The 21,998-nt window shown below is 40.7% G+C and overlaps 1 protein-coding gene and 1 long non-coding RNA gene across 9 annotated transcripts in view, besides 2 other annotated features; one reads left to right on the forward strand and one right to left on the reverse strand.

Moving 5' to 3' along the window:
• The window catches only part of LOC101927178 (uncharacterized), a 32,050-nt gene extending 11,801 nt beyond the window's left edge, over window positions 1-20,249 (forward strand). Inside the window, exons 2-5 of the long non-coding RNA NR_110415.1 lie at window positions 6,771-6,814; window positions 9,800-9,848; window positions 17,689-17,761; window positions 19,983-20,249. This is a non-coding gene — a long non-coding RNA (uncharacterized LOC101927178). The remainder of the gene's footprint in view (window positions 1-6,770; window positions 6,815-9,799; window positions 9,849-17,688; window positions 17,762-19,982) is intronic.
• Window positions 1-21,998, reverse strand: part of PPP2R3C (protein phosphatase 2 regulatory subunit B''gamma) — a 36,827-nt gene that overhangs the window by 7,410 nt on the left and 7,419 nt on the right. For 5 of the 8 annotated variants that reach the window (NM_001305156.2, XM_005267782.5, XM_024449638.2 and 2 more), the window contains 8 exons: window positions 17,644-17,748; window positions 16,938-17,050; window positions 15,258-15,355; window positions 14,423-14,493; window positions 6,371-6,503; window positions 3,828-3,883; window positions 3,677-3,752; window positions 2,167-2,303 (listed from right to left, as the gene is read on the reverse strand). In NM_001305156.2, the coding sequence (NP_001292085.1) occupies window positions 2,167-2,303; window positions 3,677-3,752; window positions 3,828-3,883; window positions 6,371-6,503; window positions 14,423-14,493; window positions 15,258-15,355; window positions 16,938-17,011 (645 nt within the window). In that variant the 5' untranslated portion in view covers window positions 17,012-17,050; window positions 17,644-17,748. Of the gene's footprint in view, window positions 1-2,166; window positions 2,304-3,676; window positions 3,753-3,827; window positions 3,884-6,370; window positions 6,504-14,422; window positions 14,494-15,257; window positions 15,356-16,937; window positions 17,051-17,643; window positions 17,749-19,163; window positions 19,987-21,998 lie in introns of those variants that run through there. The other 3 variants (NR_130972.2, XM_047431517.1, XM_024449639.2) reach the window with 2 other exon arrangements.
• Window positions 9,848-10,015: a silencer, noted in NCBI's record as "fragment chr14:35571935-35572102 (GRCh37/hg19 assembly coordinates)". NCBI's record gives its function as "represses an EF-1alpha promoter that drives an FKBP-Casp9 reporter gene in an ReSE screen in both phorbol 12-myristate 13-acetate-treated (for megakaryocytic differentiation) and untreated K562 erythroleukemia cells {active_cell/tissue: K562 | K562(+PMA)}" and the evidence as "EXISTENCE:reporter gene assay evidence [ECO:0000049][PMID:32094911]".
• Window positions 19,668-20,449: an enhancer, noted in NCBI's record as "NANOG-H3K27ac hESC enhancer chr14:35581755-35582536 (GRCh37/hg19 assembly coordinates)". NCBI's record gives its function as "activates a minimal SCP1, AML or CMV promoter by ChIP-STARR-seq in naive H9 embryonic stem cells {active_cell/tissue: H9 hESC(naive)}" and the evidence as "EXISTENCE:reporter gene assay evidence [ECO:0000049][PMID:30033119]".

The following is a 21,998-nucleotide window of genomic DNA, read 5'->3' on the forward strand; positions in this document are numbered from 1 at the left end:
TCTCATCCATAAAAAGGCAAAATGGAAAGGCCAGAAAGACATGAAGAGAACAGAAAGCCTTCCCTATAAAAACAGGATACGCACTTCGGGGGGCCGAGGCGGGCAGATCAGAAGGTCAAGAGATCGAGACCATACTGGCTAACACGGTGAAACTCCGTCTCTACTAAAAATACAAAAAAAAATTAGCCGGGCATGGTGGCGGGCGCCTGTAGTCCCAGCTACTCGGGAGGCTGAGGCAGGAGAATGGCGTCAACCCGGGAGGCGGAGCTTGCAGTGAGCCGAGATCGCGCCACTGCACTCCAGCCTGGGCGACAGAGGGAGACTCCATCTAAAACAAAAACAAAAACAACAAAACAAAACAAAAAAACAGGATACTCAGATTTTTTTTTTAATGGTAAAAAGTAGTAATTGGGAGGTTCTCACTTAGATAAAAATTTTATATTCTTAGAAAAGTTCCTTTCTGCATAAATAGCACTAAAGAGTTAAAGAATGCAGATTGTGATCTGACTTCATCCATAGTTGTAGCCTGATTTTCTCTATTCATCAGGAATCATTATATTAATAATATAAGCTCCTCACTGTCTATTGTTTACAGCTGTGGGAGTTACAAAGTAAATTTTCTGTGCCTTTTCCCCTCTTTTCTTTTGTTGTTACTAATGGTGTTATTTAGCAAACTGCTATTGAAGCTAAATGATAAATGTAAGACCCCCCCATTCTCATGACAATATGACTATTTTTTAAGCATAACTGGTTTGGGAAATTTATCAGATTCTTTTTTTTTTTGAGATGGAGTCTCGCTCAGTTGCCCAGGCTGGAGTGCAGTGGCGCCATCTCGGCTTACTGCAAGCTCCGCCTCCCGGGTTCACACCATTACACCATTCTGCCTCAGCCTCTGGAGTAGCTGGGACTACAGGTGCCCGTCACCGCACCCAGCTAATTTTTTGTATTTTTAGTAGAGACGGGGTTTCACCGTGTTAGCCAGGATGGTCTCCATCTCCTGACCTTGTGATCCACCCGCCTCGGCCTCCCAAAGTTATCAGATTCTTAACCCATGTTTTTAGCAGCAAAAATGGTGATTTTAAAATGCTGTTTAGAATTTTCCTTCTCAAGTATTTTGCATTGTTATAATAAAAAGACAAGTGCATGTTATCTTCAGCTGTTCATATAGCCACTTCTAGAGACTAATACAACCTGATTCTCAGAATTAAATCATGGCATATGTGTTACTACATTTGACCTGGTAATTTAATGACGGAACTATCTAGCTGAAAATAGCCAGAATAATTTACTAATGTTTCAGCTTTTAAGAGACATGGTCTCACTCTACTGCCCAGACTGGAGTGCAGTGGCCTCATCATAGCTCACTGCAGCCTCAAATTCCTCAGGTCAAGCAATCCTCCTGCCTCAGCCTCCCGAGTAGCTATACTACAGGCACATTCCATCCATGCCCAAGTAATTTTTTTATTTTTTGTAGAGACAGTCTCGCTGTATTGCTCAGGCTAGTTTTGAACGACTGGCCTTAAGTGGTTCTGTGGCCTTGGCCTCCCAAAGCGCTGGGATTATAACCATAAGCTACCAAGCCTGGCCTCAGCTTTTTTTTAAAAAAAAAAAAAAACTAGAATGCACTACTGTACAGTAGGTGCACTGACAATGAAATGAACAATAAGCTTTTCTATTTGCCCTGAGGCCATAATGCAGATGTTTTAATTTACGTTAAGACCAAAGACTCTGAATCTCAAGTAATTTGATCAGTTTACACATTTTAAAGACACTGTTACACAGTGATATCAATAATGCTGGGCCGAGTGTGGTGGCTCACGCCTCGTAATCCCAGCACTTTGGGAGGCAGATCACCTGAGGTCAGGAGTTCAAGACCAGCCTGGCCAACCTGGTGAAACCCCATCTCTCCTAAAAGTACAAAAATTAGCTGGATGCAGTGGCATGCACCCATAATCCCAGCTACTCCGGAGGCTGAGGCAGGAGAATCACTTGAACCTAGGAAGTGGAGGTTGCATTGAGCGGAGATCACACCACTGCACTCTAGCCTAGGCGACAGAGCAAGACTCTGTCTCAAAAAAAAAAGGGCTGTATTACATCAAGAAAAGGGTTTGTGGAAACTCTGGGAGCCTAAACTTTTAAAACTTAGCAGCAGATTTAAACTACTACCATTTCTCCATCATAAGTGAGACACTCCTGGAAAACACGGTCTAAGAAGACATTGGTCATGGTAGCTGTTCCATAGCGTGAGAGTTCTTCTTTACTGAGCATGCCATTGTGATCTTTATCAAGATTCAAGTACTGGCCTTGGGAAGAAAAATAATAAAGACACTTATGACCACAATAAAATTTTAATCAGAAGAATAGACTAACAAAAAGTTTTTTCTTGGTTAATATTTTGATTTTCAAACTATTCATGTTATGATTAGGGTAGTGGCCTATGTGTAATACTATCAGCTACCTTTGCAATCTTGATCAGAAAAACCCTTGGGCTAGAAACAGCCAAAAAAACCCATCATGAAGGCCATAGTCTCTGGGCTGTTTCACTTACATCATTATTTGTTTTCAGTTTGCAGTCTTTTTAAACATTCCTAGGTTTCTAAATTAAATGGAGGTAGAGGCCAACAAAAAGCACTGAAATGCTAGCACTTGAAAGTAGAGATAAGAATGCCAAAAGGAGGTCGGGCGTGGTGGCTCACGCCGGTAATCCCAGCACTTTGGGAGGCTGAGGAGGGCAGATCAGAGGTCAGGAGTTCCAGACCAGCCTGGCCAACATAGTGAAACACCGTCTCTACTAAAAAAAAAAACAAAAAAAAAAAACATTAGCCGGGTGTGGTGGCGAGCGCCTGTAATCCCAGGTACTTGGGAGGCTGAGGCAAGGAGAATCACTTGAACCTGGGAGGTGGAGGTTGCAGTGAGCCGAGATCATGCCACTGGACTCCAGCCCAGGTAACAGTGCAAGACTCTATCTCCAAAAAAAAAAAAAAAAAAAAAAGCCAAAGGAGTCAAAAGACCACCCAACAAGATAATGTAGATTAGCTCCATCAGTAGACCCTGGGAATAGCATTTTATCAACAAAGCATGACAATAGCTAATGTTCATAATGATGCTCCTGAGTCAACAAGGATCAAATTACATTCTGTTCTATTGAAAAGGAAGTGTATAACTTAAAAAGGGTTCTGCTGGGTGCAGTGCCTCATGCCTATAATCCCAACACTTTGGGAGGTCAGGGCAGGTGGACTGCTTGAGCCCAGGAGTTTGAAACCAGCCTGGGCAACACAGTGAGATCCCATCTCTAAAAAAACATAAAATAAATTAGCCAGGCATGGCGCCTGTAGACCCAGTACTGGGGGTGGTGGGGTGGGTGGGGTAGGGGCACTGAGGTGAGAGGATTGAGCCTAGGACTTCAAGGCTGCACTGAGCCGTGATCATGTCACTGCACTCCAGCCAGTGTGACAGAGTGAGACCCTGTCTTCAAAAAGAAAAGGTTGGGGGGAGTCCAAAAAGTTAAAACATCGGTATTTAAACAAGTAAATTTTGGTAATGTAGAATACTAAAGCTTAAGGTAATTAAATATTTTGATCTTAAGGTATATCAGTGTATGTATAAAACTGTCCTCTGAACACCAATTTCCTGAAGAATGGATAATTCAAATTTTAGCATTATGATAGGAACATACCATAAACTCTTAGGGCAGAAGGAGCAGAAAACCAATTTGTTTCTTGACTCTCCTTGGACAGTTCCTCATCCCTTAGCTAATGGAACACAAAGACATAATTAGAAGATAGCAACTGTCAAGTGATACAATTAAGTAGTTTAAAAACATTTACCTCCAATAAATCATCTAGGAAGCTGCATGCTAAAATATCTTGAATTTTTATCTTTCCTTTAAGAACATAAAGAAACACAATTAATTTCATTTTAAGAAAAGAGCAACTCAATTAATTAAAAAAAAATTTTTTTAACAAGAGCAATCACACAATTGATATTTTAAAGCTTCTAGCTCTTATGCTCCAAAGTCCTTATTACATATTGCTACAAAAAGGGAAATCTCGGCTGGGCGCGGTGGCTCACCGCGTAATTCCAGCACTTTGGGAAGCTGAGGCAGGTGGATCACCTGAGGTCAGGAGTTCCAGACCAGCCTGGCCAACATGGTGAAACCCCATCTCTACTAAAAACACAAAAAATTAGCTGGGTGTGGTGGAGGGCGCCTGTAATCCCAGCTACTCTGGAGGCTGAGGCAGGAGAATCGCTTGAACCTGGGAGGCAGAGGTTGCAGTGAGCTGAGATCAAGCCATTGTACTACAGCCTAGGGAACAAGAGCAAAACTCCATCCCCACCCTGCAAAAAAAAAAGAGAAACCTACAGGCAACATTTAATAACATCTCTACTTGTATACCTCAACTATATAAATCTAAGTGGTAAATTCTAAAATTATACTGATGTCAGATTTTCAAAAAAGTTGTGATTATAGATATAGTACTGCTGGTACACGAACAGGGACACTGTCTCCATTTATTTTTGGCAGGTTCTGGACTAGAAAGCAATACGCAGGTAAACAGGTGTGGTTTAAGAGCAGAGTTTGTTTTGTCTTGTTCTTGTTCTTTTTTTTTTTTTTTTTGAGACAGAGTTTCGCTCTTGTTGCCCAGGCTGGAGTGCAATGGTGTGATTTCAGCTCACTGCAATCTCTGCCTCCTGGGTTCAAGCGATTCTCCTGCCTCAGCCTCCTAAGTAGCTGGGAATACAGGCACCCACCACCACATCCAGCTAATTTTTTCTATTTTTAGTAGAGATGGGGTTTCACTATGTTGGCCAGGCTGGTCTTGAACACCTGACCTCAGATGATTCACCCATCTTAGCCTCCCAACGTGCTGGGATTACAGGTGTGAGCCACTGCGCCTGGCTGCTGCTGCTTTTTTGTACAGAAGAGGTCTGTCTTGCCAGGGCTGGTCTTGAACTCCTAGGCACCAGTGATTTCTCACCTCAGCCTCCCAAAGTGCTGGGATTACAGGTGTGAGCCACCACACCTAGCCCAGATTGGAGTTTGAATGCCACTTTTAAATATGTAACCTAGCAAAGTCTCAGTTGCCTTACACATAAAATGTGGACAATAATGTACCTTCCTTATGGGGTTATGAGATGAAAATGAATGAATCCATGTAAAATGCTTAGCATACTACATAAGTCAAAACGTGATATTATTTTGTAAAATTTGAAAAAGTATATATGTGTGTACTTATAGTAGAGGAGTTCAAAAAACACTGTCAGCTACCATATGCTGTGATTGGATTCATAACTGGATTTTTTTTTTTTTTTTTTGGACACAAGGTCTGGCTCTGTTGCCCAGACTGAAGTGCAGTGGCCCGATCTTGGCTCACTGCAGCCTCTGCCTCCTGGGTTCAAGTGATCCACTTCAGCAGCTTCCCAAGTAGCTGGGACTACAGCCGTGTGTCACTACGCCTGGCTAGTTTTTTTTTTTTTTTTTTTTTTTGAGACGGAATTTCCCTCTTGTTGCCCAGGCTGGAATGCAATAACGCGATCTCGGCTCACCTCTGCCTCCCGGGTTCAAGCAATTCTCCTGCCTCAGCCTCTCGAGTAGCTGGGATTACAGGTGTGAGCCACCGTGTCCAGCCAATTTTTGTATTTTTTTTGTAGAGAAAAAGTTTTGCCATGTTGCCCAGGCTGATCTTGAACTCCTGAGTTCAAGTGGTCCACCCAACTCAGCCCCCCAGAGTGCTGAGATTACAGGCGTGAACCACTGTGCCAGGCCCATAGCTGAATTTTCAAGGACAGAAGGACAATCAGGCACTTTGATTTGGACCTTCTCTGTCCTTTCCTCTGCTCCAGTTACATGTAGTTAAGTCTGGGCAGGTTTGAACAGTTAATAAAACAAACTGTTAATGAGGCCATATTTACCAATCCGATCCTTATAGAGAATAAGAAAAATATGCATCACTGGCTAAATGGCTCTCATATTTCCAAATACATATTTTTCATCAAAAAGAGAATAATTCTGCAGTATGTCACACAGCAGAGACAGCAAATTATATGCAAATAACTGGCTTCCTAGAACTGGAAGGAGGTATTTATGACTGACTACCCAGTTCATACTTCTTCACTGTTAGGTGATGTCCCCCCATCTGTCACACAGCAGGTTATGGTCAGTGCAAGTAAATCATAAAAGATCTTCAGATAAACATAACCAAAGTACTGCTACTGTTTTTTCTACCTTTTTATCTCCTTGAAATTCACCAAATTTTTAATGGCAGTGACAGGAAAATAAATGATATTTTTCAAGAGTTTTCTCTAGTTATTGAGATTTAGATATAATAATATCCTCATAATATCTAAGTTAGATAAGATTTTCTTTTACCTGTTCTTAAAGGATCTAAAAAGAAGAAGAACTTCCTAACTGCTGTACAAACATAAAAGGAGTAGAAAGATTTTTCCAGACCATCTAATTGTGGCAACGTAGGGATAAGTTCCAATATGTAGTTTTCTAAATCCTGAAAATAAAACAAAATAAAGTGTTAAATGTCCAGTCTTGATTCATTAGATATTAGAATTTCATTACTAAAAATTATTCAGCATTAATACTATATTGATAAAGAAATAAATGCATGACTATTTTAGTGGTAAAACTATTTTACATTAAATTTTGTTTCTAATTTGTTTTAGCATTTTTGAAAAGTAGTAAATTCTACATAGTTCCAAATTCAAAGGGAACAAAGATATTGATTAAAAAGCCTCTCACCTATTTCTTCTCCCCAAAGGTTAAGTAACTTGTATTATCAACTTCTGATGCAGCTTCCCAAAGGTAACAGATGCAAATATGAACCAATACATATATATTTCTTTCCCTCTTTTTTTTTTTTTTTGAGATGGAGTCTTGCTCTGTCACCCAGGCTGGAGTGCAGTGGTGTTGATCTCAGCTCACTGCAACCTCCGCCTCCCAAGTTCAAGCGATTCTCCTGCCTCAGCCTCCTGAGTAGCTGGGACTACAGGCGCGCACCACCATGCCCAGCTAATTTTTGTATTTTTAGTAGAAACGGGGTTTCACCATGTTGGCCAGGATGGTCTCGATCTCTTGACCTCGTGATCCAGCCACCTCTGCCTCCCACAGTGCTGGGGCTATAGCCGTGAGGCACCACACCCAGCCTTTCCCTCTTTTTACACAAAGGATGTATCAACATACCATGAAAACTGCTTTTGTCATTCCGTAATATATTTTACAGTTATTCCATACTGACTCTCAAAGAGCTTCCACTCTTTGAGAATAAATAGCTATATATTATATCATTGCATAGATGTGCCATATTTAACTAGGCCTCTCTATTGGGACATTTAGTTTTTTCCTAATATTTTGCTGCACGAAAAATAATACCATAAGGGCTAAGCTAATTATTCATTCATAGATATTGTGGAAGAATATAGAATACAATTTCTATAAGTGGACCTGCTGGGTTGTAGCATATGCACATGTAGAATTTTGATAGACCCTGGGAAACTTCCACCTCCCCACAAACGCCATGTGAATTTTATACTCCCACCAGCAATGTGAAGGCTATTTCTACAGTTCCGAATTCTGCACACAGGTGTCCCAGGAGCACCACAGTTAATGTACAGGGGTGCATCAGGATATTTTAAAATTTTGAGCGAAACAGCAACATTTGTCAGACACTGCATGACAGATATTGCTACAAGCTAGAATTACGTGCTCAAGGTAGTTCACATTTTCAATACTGGATCTCAATGTATTCCTTCTTTTTGAGGCAGGGTCTCACTCTGTCACACAGGCTGCTGGAGTGCAGTAGCATGATCTCGGCTCACTGAAACCTCTACCTCCCAGGCTCAAGTGATCCTCCCACCTCAGCCTCCTGAATAGCTGGGACCACAGAGATGCACCACCACACCCAGTTAATTTTTTGTATTTTGGTAGAGATGGGGATTCACCATGTTGCCCAGGCTGGTCTCGAACTCTTGAGCTCAAGCTATCTGCCCACCTTGGCCTCCCAGTGTTGGAATTACAGGTGTCAGCCACTGTGCCTGGTTATTATTCCTTTTTAAAAAATTTTTTAAATCACCAAAATGTCATGAATATATTCCTTTTTTTTCGAGATGGACTCTTGCTCTGTCACCCAGACTGGAGTGCAGTGGCGAAATCTCAGCTTACTGCAACCTCCACCTCCCGGGTTCAAGCGATTCTCCTGCCTCAGCCTCTTGAGTAGCTGGGACTACAGTCGCGTGCCACCATGCCTGGCTAATTTTTTGTATTTTTAGTAGAGACAAGGTTTCACCGTGTTAGCCAGGATGGTCTCGATCTCCTGACCTCGCGATCTGCCTGCCTTGGCCTCCCAAAGTGCTGGGATTACAGGCGTGAGCCACCATGCCCAGCCAAATATACTCCTTTTAATGACATAAATCTTTGCAAAGCTAGGTTTTGATGGTTCCTGTGGTAAAGTACCACACAAAAATTAGTGAACAGGAAATGAGGAGGGCAAGTGTCCAGTCTAATTCCCAGGTTTAAGTAGTTGTACACATCCCATTAATAACTGTACTTAAGAATGAAATAAAAATATCTTCTTTCAACTTAAGTGTATTATTTATTCAAATGGCTAATAAGCTTAATGAATACTCATTAAATTGTTTAAAATTAACTAGTTAATAAGTGAAACTTTTAGGGATTTCTTTTGGCTCAGAAGCACTGTGAAAAAATTACTCAAACACTAAAGGTGTCAATTCAAACTTTCTGATCTTTGCTAATTTGATAGGGGAAAAATGGCAACTTAGTGTAGATTTATCTGGCATTTCTCTTATGTGAAGTTAGTTGTTTCTTATGATTAAGAAGCATTTGAATTTTACTTTTTATACATTATCTATATCTTTGTCCAGTTTTTTATTGGGTTAATGGCTTTCTTCTTGATTTCTGGGAGCTTTTTATATATTAGGGTAATTGGCCATTTCTGACTGTTTCAGGTATTTCCCCCAGTTTGTTGTTTTCTTTTTACTTTAACATGGGCTTTGCCCTATAGATCTTTAAAAATTTAGCTGAATTTATTGTTTTCTAGACTTCTGGGTTTTGTCATACTTAGAAAGGCTTTCCCTATTACAGGATTATAAATTTAAAAGCCTTCCATGGTTTCTCTCTCTCTTTTTTTTTTTTTTTTTGAGACGGAGTCTCAGTCCAGTCCAGGCTGGAGTGCAGTGGCGCAATCTCAGCTCACTGAAACCTCCACCTCTTGGGTTCAAGCGATTCTTGTGTCTCAGCCTGAGTAGCCAGGATTACAGGCACGTACCACCACGCCTGGCTAATTTTTGTATTTTTAGTAGAGAGGGGGTTTCGCCATGTTGGCCAGGCTGGTCTCGAACTCCTGACCTCAAGTGATCTGCCTGCCTTGGCCTCCCAAAGTGCTGGAATTACAGGCGTGAGCCACTGTGCCTTCCCATGGTTTCTTATACTTATTTTAACAATGTTATTTTTGCTTTAACCATTTCAAATATCAAATTTCTGGTAGATCTGAGATACTTTCAAGTTTATAGGACAACTGGCATCTCAAACTTGAAGTATCCAAAATGGGGCTCTCTTGTCATCTCCAACCTTGGTCCTCACCTGCTTTTCCTCTATTCCAACAGTTACTCAAAATAAAAATTTAAGACTTGTCTTTGGCTTCTCTTTTTCTTCATCAATGCCTTCACACTCCTTACCCTGAACATCCAATCTAGCAGCAATTTGTGTTTTTTCTGGGAAGGAGGGGAGTCCAAAATATATATTGAATTAATCTATTTCTTGCTTTCTCTACAGCCACCAATTACCCTAGTTATGGGCCCATCATCTCACCTGGACTATCATGGTAGGTGCCTAAATATTTTGCTTATACTCCAGATTTATTTATCTATTTAGAGATGGAGCCTTGCTCTGTCGCCCAAGCTGGAGTGCAGTGGCTCAATCTTGGCTCACTGCAACCTCCATCCCCTGGGTTCAAGTGATTCTCCTGCCTCAGCCTCCAAGTAGCTGGGATTACAGGTGCCTACCCCCATACCCAGCTAATTTTTGTATTTTTAGTGGAGACGGGGTTTCGTCATGTTGGCCAGGCTGGTCTTGAACTCCCGAGCTCAAGCGATCCACCTGCCTCGGCCTCCCAAAGTTGCTGGGATTACGGGCATGAGCCACCGTGCCTGGCCGTACTTTGAGTTCCTTACATCCTCCATACAGCATCCAGAATGATCTTTTAAAATGTAAATCATATCCTGACAGACTCAGCTTAAAACTTCCGATGGTTTCCCGTTAGCCTCAAAATAAATCCAAAGTCCTTACTGTGGCCCAAAAGGCCCTACATGTGGCCCCTGCCTACTTCTCCAACTTCATTTTCTGTTACTATAGTCCTTGTTCTAGCCACACTGGCTTCCTTCTGTTCCTAGAACAGGTCCAGGCTTAATTTTGCCTTGGAGACACTGTATTTGCCGTTTCCTCTATACTACATCTTCATAAGGCTGGCTTCTTTCTCGTACTTCATGGCTAAAACTTAATCACTATCTCAAAAAGATGCTCCTTCCAGCCTACCTAAAATCGTCTGTCAATCCCAGTCATATTCCTGCCTAGTTTACTGTTTTATTTTCTACATATAACTTGTCACTATTTGATATTATCTGCTTATAATTTAGTGTCTGTCTTCCCACTCTGCTAGAAAAAATAGGTCTACAAGGGAATGAAAATTGTACTGTGTCCCTGGAAAGGTTTTAAAGTATAACATTTAGAATGAGCTAACAGATTCCATCTACAGAAATCTGGGCAAGAAAACAAAAAAAAGAAAAAAAAGAAATCTGGGCAAACAGATTGTCACAAAGTAAAACATGAGCCCTACAAGCTTAGAATAATACCTGCCCCCAAATAAATGTCTACTAAATGCTTAATAAGATTTAATAAGTGAATAAAACTTTGTATACTCTACTCAGATTATAAATGTTGGTCTGGAAGCCACTGCCTTTCAAATTAGTAAGACACAAAGTCTGGGTTTCAAAAGGCAATGGGCCAAGGATGGAAGAAATACTTTGAGAAAAGTGTTTTCTTTCATTGAGAGAAGGGGAAAATTATTCCTTTTTAAAAACAACTATAGAAGTACACTGTTTCTTTTCTCTCCCTTTTGCTCATCTCTCTTTCAATCTTTGTTTCCATCCATGGAAAGAGGCAAGACAAGCAGTAACAGGGGACTGTTTTTATAAATCAATATTGCTGTTTTTATAAATCAAGTGAACTGCTAACAAGAATTCTCAGAGCTAGAGAAGTACTCCAGTTTTGGACCTGACCTCTAAACGAGTACCAGCAGGTGGCTAATTATGTCTTCCTTGCCAGAAGCAAGAGCCTTTTATTCTCAAGTTGGTCTGAACCTTAAAGAGAACTGTAGTGTGCCCCTGGAAAGGTTTTACAGTATAAATGTTCAGAATGAGCTAACAGATTCTATCTACAGAAATCTAGACAAAACAGAATGCAACAAATTATAGCAGGAACCATACGAACTATAACAAGAAATTTACATTTCTTTAACCCTTATATCTGAATAATTATTTGATTAATTAACCTAGTTTATATTCATGCCCAACTCCCTTCCCCTCTCCCCTACAATCTTAAAAAAAGCACTGTATATTTGGGAAAAAAGCCTGAGGTGAAAAGTAAGTCCATATAATTTAGATACCCATACTCAGAAGAAGCATAGCCATTTGGACCATGAAGTTATAATTCTCTGTTGATAACTTGGCCTAATTACAGCAGTGCCTAATAGGAAACAAGCAGCCTCTTGGTAACTGACCTAGCAATCTTAAACCCAGAGGTGGGAATACAGTCACATTCATTTTCTCTCTCATATTTTCTTTTTTCTTTTGAGACAGTCTTGCTCTGTTGCCCAGGCTGGAGTGCAGTGGCATGATCTCAGCTTACTGCAACTGCCTCTTGGGTTCAAGCGATTCTCCTGCCTCAGCCACTCTAGTAGCTGGGATTACAGGCATCTGCTACCATGCTCAGCTAATGTTTTTGTATTTTTAATAGAGACAGGGTTTCACCATGTTGATCAGGCTGGTCTCGAAGTCCTGACATCAAGTGATCCACTCGCCTTCACCTCCCAAAGTGCTGGGATTACAGGCGTGAGCTACCGTGTCTGGCTTCTCTTATATTTTCTTAAAAAAAAAAAAGCGGGGGGGTGGAATTCTTGGCCCTTTAAAAAATAGTGACACATTAATATCACTCATGAATAATCAAACGTTTTTCAGTGATTTTTAAATGTTAAAATGCTACATTCTTTTTATTTTCCCCTTTAAAAGGCTTTTTTTTTTGAGACAGTCCGCTCTTGTCACCCAGGCTGGAGTGCAATGGCACAATCTAGGCTCACTGCAACCTCCACCTCCTGGGTTCAAGCGATTCTCTTGTCTCAGCCTCCTGAGTAGCTGGGATTACAGGTGGCCACCACCATGCCTGGCTAATTTTTGTATTTTTAGTAGAGACGGGGTTTCTCCATGTTGGTCAGGCTGGTCTTGAACTCCTGACCTCAAGATCTGCCCACCTCGGCCTCCCAAAATGCTGGGATTATAGGCATGAGCCACCGCGCCCAGCCAAAAGGCCTTTTTTTTTTAAAGTTTGAAGAAAAAGAATCTAAAAAGGAATTTGTATAGTCAATATACATTAAACATTTGTTTAGTAACACATGTCATTTGTTAAAAAAAATAAAAATAAAAAACCAAACCCCAAAACGGAAACATCCTGTGTCTCAACAAAAACTATATGGAATCAACACCACCGAGGTCTATGGAAAAAAAAAGAAAAACCTGTTCCCTTTGCTCTGCTGGAAGCTGGAAGGTGCTAGGCCCTTGTGTAGTCGTGCATAGAATTCTAGCTGCTTTCCTCTATTGAGCGCAGAGTATACTATGTCTCTATGTGAATATGGACAGTTAGCATTTACCAACATCTCCTTGTCTACTGTGTCTTTTTTTTTTTGAGATGGAGTCTCGCTCTTTCGCCCAGGTTGGAGTGCAGTGGCGTGATCTCGGCTCACTGCAAGCTCCGCCTCCTGGGTTCATGCCATTCTCCTGCCTCAGCCTCCCAAGTAGCTGGAACTACAGGTGCCTGCCACCACGCCCGGCTAATTTTTTTTTGTATTTTTAGTAGAGATGGGGTTTCACCGTGTTAGCCAGAATGGTCTCGATCTCCTGACCTCGTGATCCGCCCGCCTCGGCCTCCCAAAGTGCTGGGATTACAGGCGTGAGCCACCACGCCCGGCATCCTTGTCTACTGTCTCTTATTTAAAAAAAGAAAATAAATTTTACAAAATGGGGTTATAGGTCAGCAAAGGGTAGGTTTGAAACGTTTTGATAGTTTAAAGTGAGCATTTTGACAACGTTGCTTTTCCTTTGGCATGTTTAATTGTGATTTTTAAGGGGCATCCTTGCAGTTTAAAATGACACCTTTAAAATAAATTCTCTCTCTCTTTTTTTTTGAGACAGGGTCTCCCTCTGTTGCCCAGGCTGGAGTGCAGTGGTGCAATCTCGGCTCACTGCAACCTCTGCCTCCCAGATTCAAGCGATTCTCCCACCTCAGCCCCTTGAATAGCTGGGATTACAGGTATGCACCACCACAGCCCAGCAAATTTTTCTATTTTTAGTAGAGATGGAATTTCACCATATTGGTCAGGCTGGTCTCAAACTCCTGACCTCAGGTGACCCGCCCACGTCAGCCTCCCAAAGTGCTGGGAGTACAGGCCTTGGGAATACAGGCGTGAGCCACTGCACCCAGCCAATACATTTTTTTTTTTTTTTTTTTTTGAGACGGAGTTTCACTCTTGTTGCCCAGGCTGGAGTGCAATGGCGCTATCTCGGTTCACAGCAACCTCTGCCTCCTGGGTTCAAGTGATTCTCCTGCCTCAGCCTTCCAAGTAGCTGGGATTACAGGTATGTGCCACCAAGCCTGGCTAATTTTGTATTTTTAGTAGAGATAGGGTTTCTCCATGTTGGTCAGGCTGGTCTCAAACTCCCGACCTCAGGTGATCCGCCTGCCTCATCCTTCCAAAGTGCTGGGATTACAGGTGTGAGCTACCACACCCAGCATAAATTCTCTCTTAATGATGACTTGAAGGCTGCTACTCCATGGGAGAATCAGTAGAACCTGTAGGATCTTATTTGGAATTGACATTCTCTATTGTAATTTTGTTTATTTTAAATTTGTTTTTTGTTTCACTGGAAAGATGATGTTCAATTTTAAAAGTTGAAAGTGTACAAGTTGCTTTGTTACAGTAAAACTAAATATGTACACACAAACACACACAGACAGAAATAAAACAAAGTATTATGAGAACAGCCTGTAATCCCAACACCCAGTGATAACTACAGTTTACATTTTAGTGTCTATAAGAGTTAATATAATATCTATAAGGTTAACACTTACAGATTCCCGAAGGTACCCCTGCCCAGCGACATCATATAAACTGAGTCCTATTCTTGTTTGATGAAGCCAAACTGACAATAAACAAGAAAATGAAAGTAATTCTTAAGATCTATCCTTCAGATATGAAAAAGGAGATAAAGAGCCAGATTTGAGACAAGCTAATCTAGTAACTCTAAAAACATTTCTTCTCACCACAAAATTGCTTGAAACAAAAAACCATAGAATGGAAGAGTTCAACAATTCTACCATGACTAAAGCTATAATAAAATTGACACCTTGAAGATACTGTTCTTTACCAATTAAACTTGGTGTTCCACCAAACAGGGACAGCTAGTATAATATTATGCCTTCAGTGAAGCTGCTTTTATTTCTGAGGTTAATTACAGCAACCAATTATTAAAGATTGTATACAATAGGCTTTCACAGATTATTATGGCACTTGTAGGAATCATAAGTCCAAGCTGTTTAATTGATGCTCCTTGAAACTGATATTACAGCTTTGGGTTTGAAACTATCAGTCAACTCAACTTGTAATATACTGGTAAAATAAAATTATCAGTAAATTAAAATTATTTCAAATTACCATACATTAAAACTCTTGGTTCAGCTCTTAATATTTCTAGTCTACTATTATCTTTAAGACACATGAGGGTTTAAAAAATTTTTGTTTTTTTATGCTAACCCAAGTTTATGTAACACATCTTGGTCAAAAGATAAGAAATTCTACTATTCAAACTTAGAGTGATTTCACATAGAAGAAATACTTATAAAAGCACAGACCAAAAACCTACTTGATTCCCAGATAAGGAGTTCAAGCACAGTAAAAATGAATCACCTTTTCTCATGACATAATTAAAGAACTGCATGATGGAAATTCTTCCATATGAATCTGTATGAAGGAGTTTAGCAAAGACTTTTGCTGTGAAAAATTGCCTAAGAAAAGAAAATAAAGATTTAAATGATCTGCCAACATAAAAGAAAATGACTTCTACATAAATTAGCAAACAATGGCATAAATTCATACAATTAAAAATGAAAGAACAATAGAGACTCCTTATAATTCAAAAACTTAAAATATTAAGTCAAACTTTTTTTTTTTTTTAAAAGAAATGGAGATTTGGCCAGGCGCAGTGGCTCTTGCCTGTAATCCCAGCACTTTGGGAGGCTGAGGCAGGCACATCATGAGTCAAGAGATCGAGACCATTTTGGCCAACATGGTGAAACCCCGTCTCTAGTAAAAATACAAAAAGTATTTGTATTGGGTATTTATATTGTATTATATTGTATTTATATTGGCCCAGCCAATATTTGAGGCATTTAAAATGCTTAACATATTCTTTTGTTAATACAATAATACTTGGGAGGCTGAGGCAGGAGAATCACTTGAACCCAGGAGGCGGAGGTTATAGTGAGCTGAGATTGCGCCACTCCCCTGCAGCCTAGCGACAGAGCAAGACTCCATCTCAAAAAAAAAGATAAATATATATATATAAACAGAGATTTGCTCTGTTGCCCTGACTGATCTCGAACTCCTGGCCTCAAGTGATCCACCTGCCTTGGCCTCCCAAAGCACTGGAATTACAAACGTGAGGCACCATGCCTAGCCTAAGTCATAAATGTTTGCATTCTTTTTTTTTTTAATTAAAAGTTTTTTTTATTTTGCAGAGATGGGCACGTGAGCCACAGTGCCTGGCCTTGCATTCTTTTTTGTTTGCTTTCGTCTGTCTTAAGGCTGAAAGTGTCATAAACTATATTATTTCTTTTTTTTTTTTGAGATGGAGTCTTGCTCTTTTGCCAAGCTGGAGTGCAGTGGCACGATCTCGGCTCACTGCAACCTCCGCCTCCAGGGTTCAAGCGATTCTCCTGCCTCAGCCTCCTGAGTAGCTGGGATTACAGGCACACGCCACCACGCCCAGCTAATTTTTGTATTTTTAGTAGAGACGGGGTTTCACCATGTTGGTCAGGATGGTCTTGTTCTCTTGACCTCGTGATCCGCTCACCTCAGCCTCCCAAAGTGCTGGGATTACAGGCATGAGCCACCACACCTGGCTATATTATTTATTTTAATAACTTCATACCAATGTGATTTTTTGACTGTAAATAATTTTATTAAATTTAATTAGTAACTTAAATGGACTCAAATGTCATTCCATTTACTTCATTTAATATTTGAGGATTTGTTTATTTTTTTTAAAGGTAAGGTCTTGCTCTATCGCCCAGGCTGGAGTGCAGTGGCTTAATCACAGCTCATCCTCCCGGGCTCAAGCAATTCTCCCACCTCAGCCTCCGGAGTAGCTACAGGTGTACGCCCCCACACCCAGATAATTTTTTTAGTAGAGACAAGATCTCCCTAAGTTGCCCAGGCTGGCCTCAAACACCCCAGCTCAAGCAATCCTCTCACCTCAGCCTCCAAAACTGCTGGGATTACAGGTGTGAGCCACTGTGCCCAGCCAATATTTGAGGCATTTAAAATGCTTAACATAACACATTCTTTTGTTAATTATATTATTCTTACTTGCACTTTGCTCCAGCCTTTTCACCAACCTTCAAAAAGTTTTCGTAATTGATCATCGCTTCCTCTCCAATCATAGGTGGTGTCTGGTGTTTGTCCAGCAAAAACCATAAGTTCTTAAGAGAATTGTGGAAGTGAAGATGTTGTAAGTTAAAAACAACAAGATTTTAATATGTAGTTAAATGTGTGCTTTCCACTAAAATGAGAGTTTGTTGGCAGAGTCAATATTAAGATGAATCTCATGCCCTATTATCCTTTTGATTACTAACAATAAAAATAACATTTATTGAGTGCCTACTAAGCTTTTGATATACACTGCCTCTTTAATCCACATCTCTATGATATAGTTAGCTATCCCTACTTTAGAGATGATAATCGAAGCACAGAGATGTTAAGTCCATTGCCTAAAGTCATATAGCAGGGCTGGGATTTGAACCTCTGTAGTCTGACCCTACAGCAGTGGTTCTCAACCTTGGCTGCACATTAGAATCACCTAGGGCCTTAAACAAAAATAACAAACAACACTATGTTTGGGGTACATGACCCATGCAAACTCAGCGGCTGCTTCTGGTGGGAACTGCTGCTTCAGAGCCTATGTAGTACCACTCTGTAGTACGGACTCCATTAGGCACCAAGAAATCCTGCATGATTTAAGTAGCACAAATGAGAAATGGTTAACATCTAAAGCAACTTTTTGCTTTGTTCTTACCTGTAATTCTTCATTATCTAACAGTTCTCTGCTTTTTCTTTGTAGAAAGACAGCTCTTGATTCCTCTCTTAATTTCTGTAGTAAGACTTCATCTTCAGCAGGCAGCTGAAAATACAAGGTAAATTTCTACATGTAAATTTTAGACTACTGGATCCTATAAAATGTATGTGGCCTCATAAAATAACTGTATGCCACCGCCTCGAATTATTTCTTGTATCTCACCTTAATTGTGCTTAACATTTGTTTAACAAAAACTGATCCACAGAGAATCGGTGATCAGAAAGGCTGGATCTCTGCCCTGAAAAAGCCATTCTAAAAGCTAGTCTAGACCAAGTTTCATTTTATTTTCTTAAAGCACTGTGTTTCTATTGTCACCTTAGAATGACACAGAATTGGCTGGGCATGCTGGCTTCCTTAGAATGATATAGAATTGGCTGGGGGCAGTGGCTCACACCCGTAATCCCAGCACTTTGGGTGGCCGAGGCAGGCGGATCATGAAGTCAAGAGATCGACCATCCTGGCCAACACTGTGCAACCCCGTCTCTACTAAAAATACAAAAATTAGCTGGGCATGGTGGCATGTGCCTGTAGTCCCAGCTACTCAGGAGGCTGAGGCAGGAGAATTGCTTAAACCCAGGAGGCGGAGGTTGCAGTGAGCTGAGATCACGCCACTACACTCCAGCCTGGCAACAGAGCGAGACTCCATCTACCAAAAAAAAAAAAAAAAAAAAAAGAATGATATAGAAGAATTAAATGAGGATTAACTGGAGATTGACAATTTCAAAACCACCTTTGCAAAATTATAACAGTGACAAAATGATGACAGTGAAAGAGATCTGACCTAACCAACTCCATCTTGTTTTTAACCTCCAATCTGCCCTTGGTCATTCCTGGGCATGGGCCAAGATATTAATAAATTTGGGAGAAATTTAGTTTATGATTTAAATGATAATAGCTCATCCCAAAACTAAACTGCCTTTGTAAAACTAATGAAAGGACACCAGGTCAGGAGGATGCGAAGGACCAGAATTCTGCTAAGATGCAGGTCAGTTAAATGATTAGCAGTTATTATTCCAGAGGGCACAAAAATTTGCAACATCCTCAATTACTCCTGTAAATAACATCACTATTGTAGTACACAGGACTGGCCTTTTGAGATGTCTTTTCAGGCTTTTGCACTTCTGACTACCCAATGGCCCCTCTCAGACCAGCCACTCCTCTGTGGCCCCAACCCAGAAGCAGACTCAGCACGCAAGGACCAGGACTGTTTTTCTATATCCCTGTGATTCCATCCCCAACCAATCAGCAGTACCCATTCCCTAGCCCCTGCCTACCAAACTATCCTTGAAAAACCCTAGCCTCCAACTTTTCAAGAAGGCTGATTTGAGTAATAATAAAACTCCTGTCTCCCATTTAGCTGTCTCCATGTATATGAAATTATTTCTCTCTTGCAATTCCCATCTTGATAAATTGGCTCTATCTGGGTAGCAGGCAAGAAGAACCTGTTGGGTGGTTCTTACCTGTAATTCTTCCTGTCCAGCAAAAACCATTTATTCTTCTTGTCCAGTTTTAGGAAAGCATGCCTGTTGAGATTGGATCACCTTTCTTCTTGGAGACAGTCAAGGCAGTGCCTATTATGTTGGCCTCCCAGGCAAGAGGGTTTGCCAACTGGGGTGATTTCCATGAGCAGAGCTTTAGAATGATTCATTCCAACCTGACTTAGAACAATTTGCTTTATTTCTTCTTTTTTAAATTAATAATAGAGGCAGGGTCTTGCTATGTTGCCCAGGTTGGTCTTGAAGTCCTGGACTCAAGCAGTCCTCCCACCTTGGCCTCCCAAAGTGCTAGGATTACAGGCATGAGCCACCACACCCAGCCAGAATAATTTACTTTAAAGAGTTCTTCTTCCTTTTCTACATCTTAGCCCCATTAAATTACCTCGGTAAACCTTACGTCAAAACTTGGGGTTATGGTTTTCATCTTTCATTTCCAGGAACTAAGATGCCATCCCTCCCATCAGAAGGAACAGAGTTAAAGGAGTATAAACCAAAAATAAAATTCTAAGGCCCCCCAACCATCTGAATGGACTTCCTCCTCAGTCAGCGCCCTTAAAATTTAACCTGAGAGACTGTTTCAGGGCATGATGGGAAGTGGGGGTCAAACATGCCTCGTTATACCTCTCTGGCATTAACATCAACACAGACTTTAAGTCTAATAAGAAACATTTTGCAACCTATTCTCTCTGAAGCCTGCTAGCTAAAAGCTTCATCTGCATGATAAAACCTTGGTCGCTACAGCCTCTTATCTTAACCCAGACATTCCTTTCTGTTTGATCCCAGGTCTTTAGACAAACTCAGCCAAGTGTCAACCAGAAAACATTTGAATTTACCTGTAGCCTGGAAGCCCCACTTCAAATTGTCCCACCTTTCTGGATCAAACCAATGTATTTCTCAAATGTATTTGATTGATGTCTCATGCCTCCCTAAAATGTATGAAACCAAGCTGCACCCAAACCACCTTTGGTACATGTTCTCAGGATCTCTTGAAGGCTGTGTCACAGGCCATGGCCACTCATATTTGGCTCAGAATAAATCTCTTCAAATATTTTACAGAGTTCAACTCTTCGTCAACAGAAGAAACATTAGGAGATGGGGATGGGGCTGGAGTTGGGGGTGACTGACATTGTGTTCTAGTGGCTAGTTAACCAGCTAATCAGCCAAGGAGAGAAGTGGTGACTCAAGATAATAGGTGTTTTCTCTGAAGCAGTGGGACCATGGAGAGGAAGAAGAAAGAAGGGAAAGGACTTTTTTACAAATCCATAGCTGCAGACAGGAGACCATCTAAGATCTAGAGGTGGCCAAAGAGAGAAGTGACACGAAGAAAGGAAAAAAAGGAGATTCCCTCAGGAACCAGAAAAAGAAGGCAAAGGTTTGGTCCCGGAAGTACAAGAAAGTTCAGTCCTGGGCTCAGGAACGGGGTCACACCATTCCTATCCAAGAGCTGTTAGGAATGAGACAGAGTAGGAATGGGGGCTTGGGTCAGCTCACTCCCACTATGGCACTCTTTTCATGCATTCCCACTGATCACAAAACCCACACCACTACCTCACTGACACCATAATGTCCAAACCATGCCTTTTACTCAAAAGAATTCCAGTAACTAGGAGATAACCAAAGTTGTGAAGTGAGTGTCCTATCTGGGGAAGGAATGCTGAACAACTGATTTACAGCCTTGTTGCCTCTAGCCAGACCAGGTGGCCCGCTGCTCAAGATAACCATAGCAACCAGACAATGCTGACCTGCATACCCTACCTGATCTGCTTTGCCCAGCCCAGCCTGCATACCCCACCCTAATATCAATTCCTGATTTTTTTTTAAAAAGCCCTACCAGCTCTTTTCAGAGTCAGGTGCTCTCTCTCCCTTTTGCATTGAGAACCCAAGAACCTATGTTCGATAACAGTAACATATTATTTAAGAATCCAGGTTAAATGAGATAAAGAATACAAAGGGCTCTGCAGTGCTTAGACACTCAATAAATGTCAATTCCCTTCTCTCTCCCCTCGGCTATCAAAAATATTCAGTTATTTAGCTGCCTCTGTTTAAGGAGAGTGTGAAATGCAAAAAGCAGTAAAGGTATGTATGATGTAATCCCATTTAAAAAAATACACAGATACCCACAGAAATATGTAGAAAGATTCATATAAAATGTTCTGTTTACATTGTTGGGTGATGTTGTCATGGGAAGAGATCAACTTGTTTAGCCATATTTTTTCCTTTTCTACAATAAATATAGGCTAGGATTACAGGCATATGATTCTTAAAAGGTTGAGAAGTATATAGTATTATAGGAAGGTTTCCAATAAAAAATGTTCGGTTGAAAAAAATTTGCACTTGAAGAAATATTTCAGTATCTGGATAACTCACTTATATAAATACCTTAATCTGTAAGAACACCAGCTAAATCATTGTTTACTATACTTGCAAATAACGTTGTAATTAATAGAGTTAGAAGGTAATAGGTTCAAGGAACATCCAGCTAAGATTCCAGTTAACTTGTATAATACTAAATAGGTATTTTTCAGTAGATTTCAGTTTCAGGTATAAATAGCTTTTTATTTTTATTTTTTTTAAATAGACAAAATAGACCTTAAGAAAAAAAAATAGACCTCTAAAAAAAAAGATGGGATGGGCCAGCATGGTGGCTCACGCCTGTAATCCCAGCACTTTGGGAGGCCGAGGCAGGTAGATCACCTGAGATCAGGAGTACGAGACCAGCCTGGCCAACATGGTGAAACCCGGTCTCTACTAAAAATACAAAAACTAGCTGGGCGTGGTGGCGCACACCTATAATCCCAG

The sequence above is a fragment of the Homo sapiens genome, chromosome 14 (assembly GCF_000001405.40).
Source record: "Homo sapiens chromosome 14, GRCh38.p14 Primary Assembly".
NCBI classification, from domain to species: domain Eukaryota; kingdom Metazoa; phylum Chordata; class Mammalia; order Primates; family Hominidae; genus Homo; species Homo sapiens.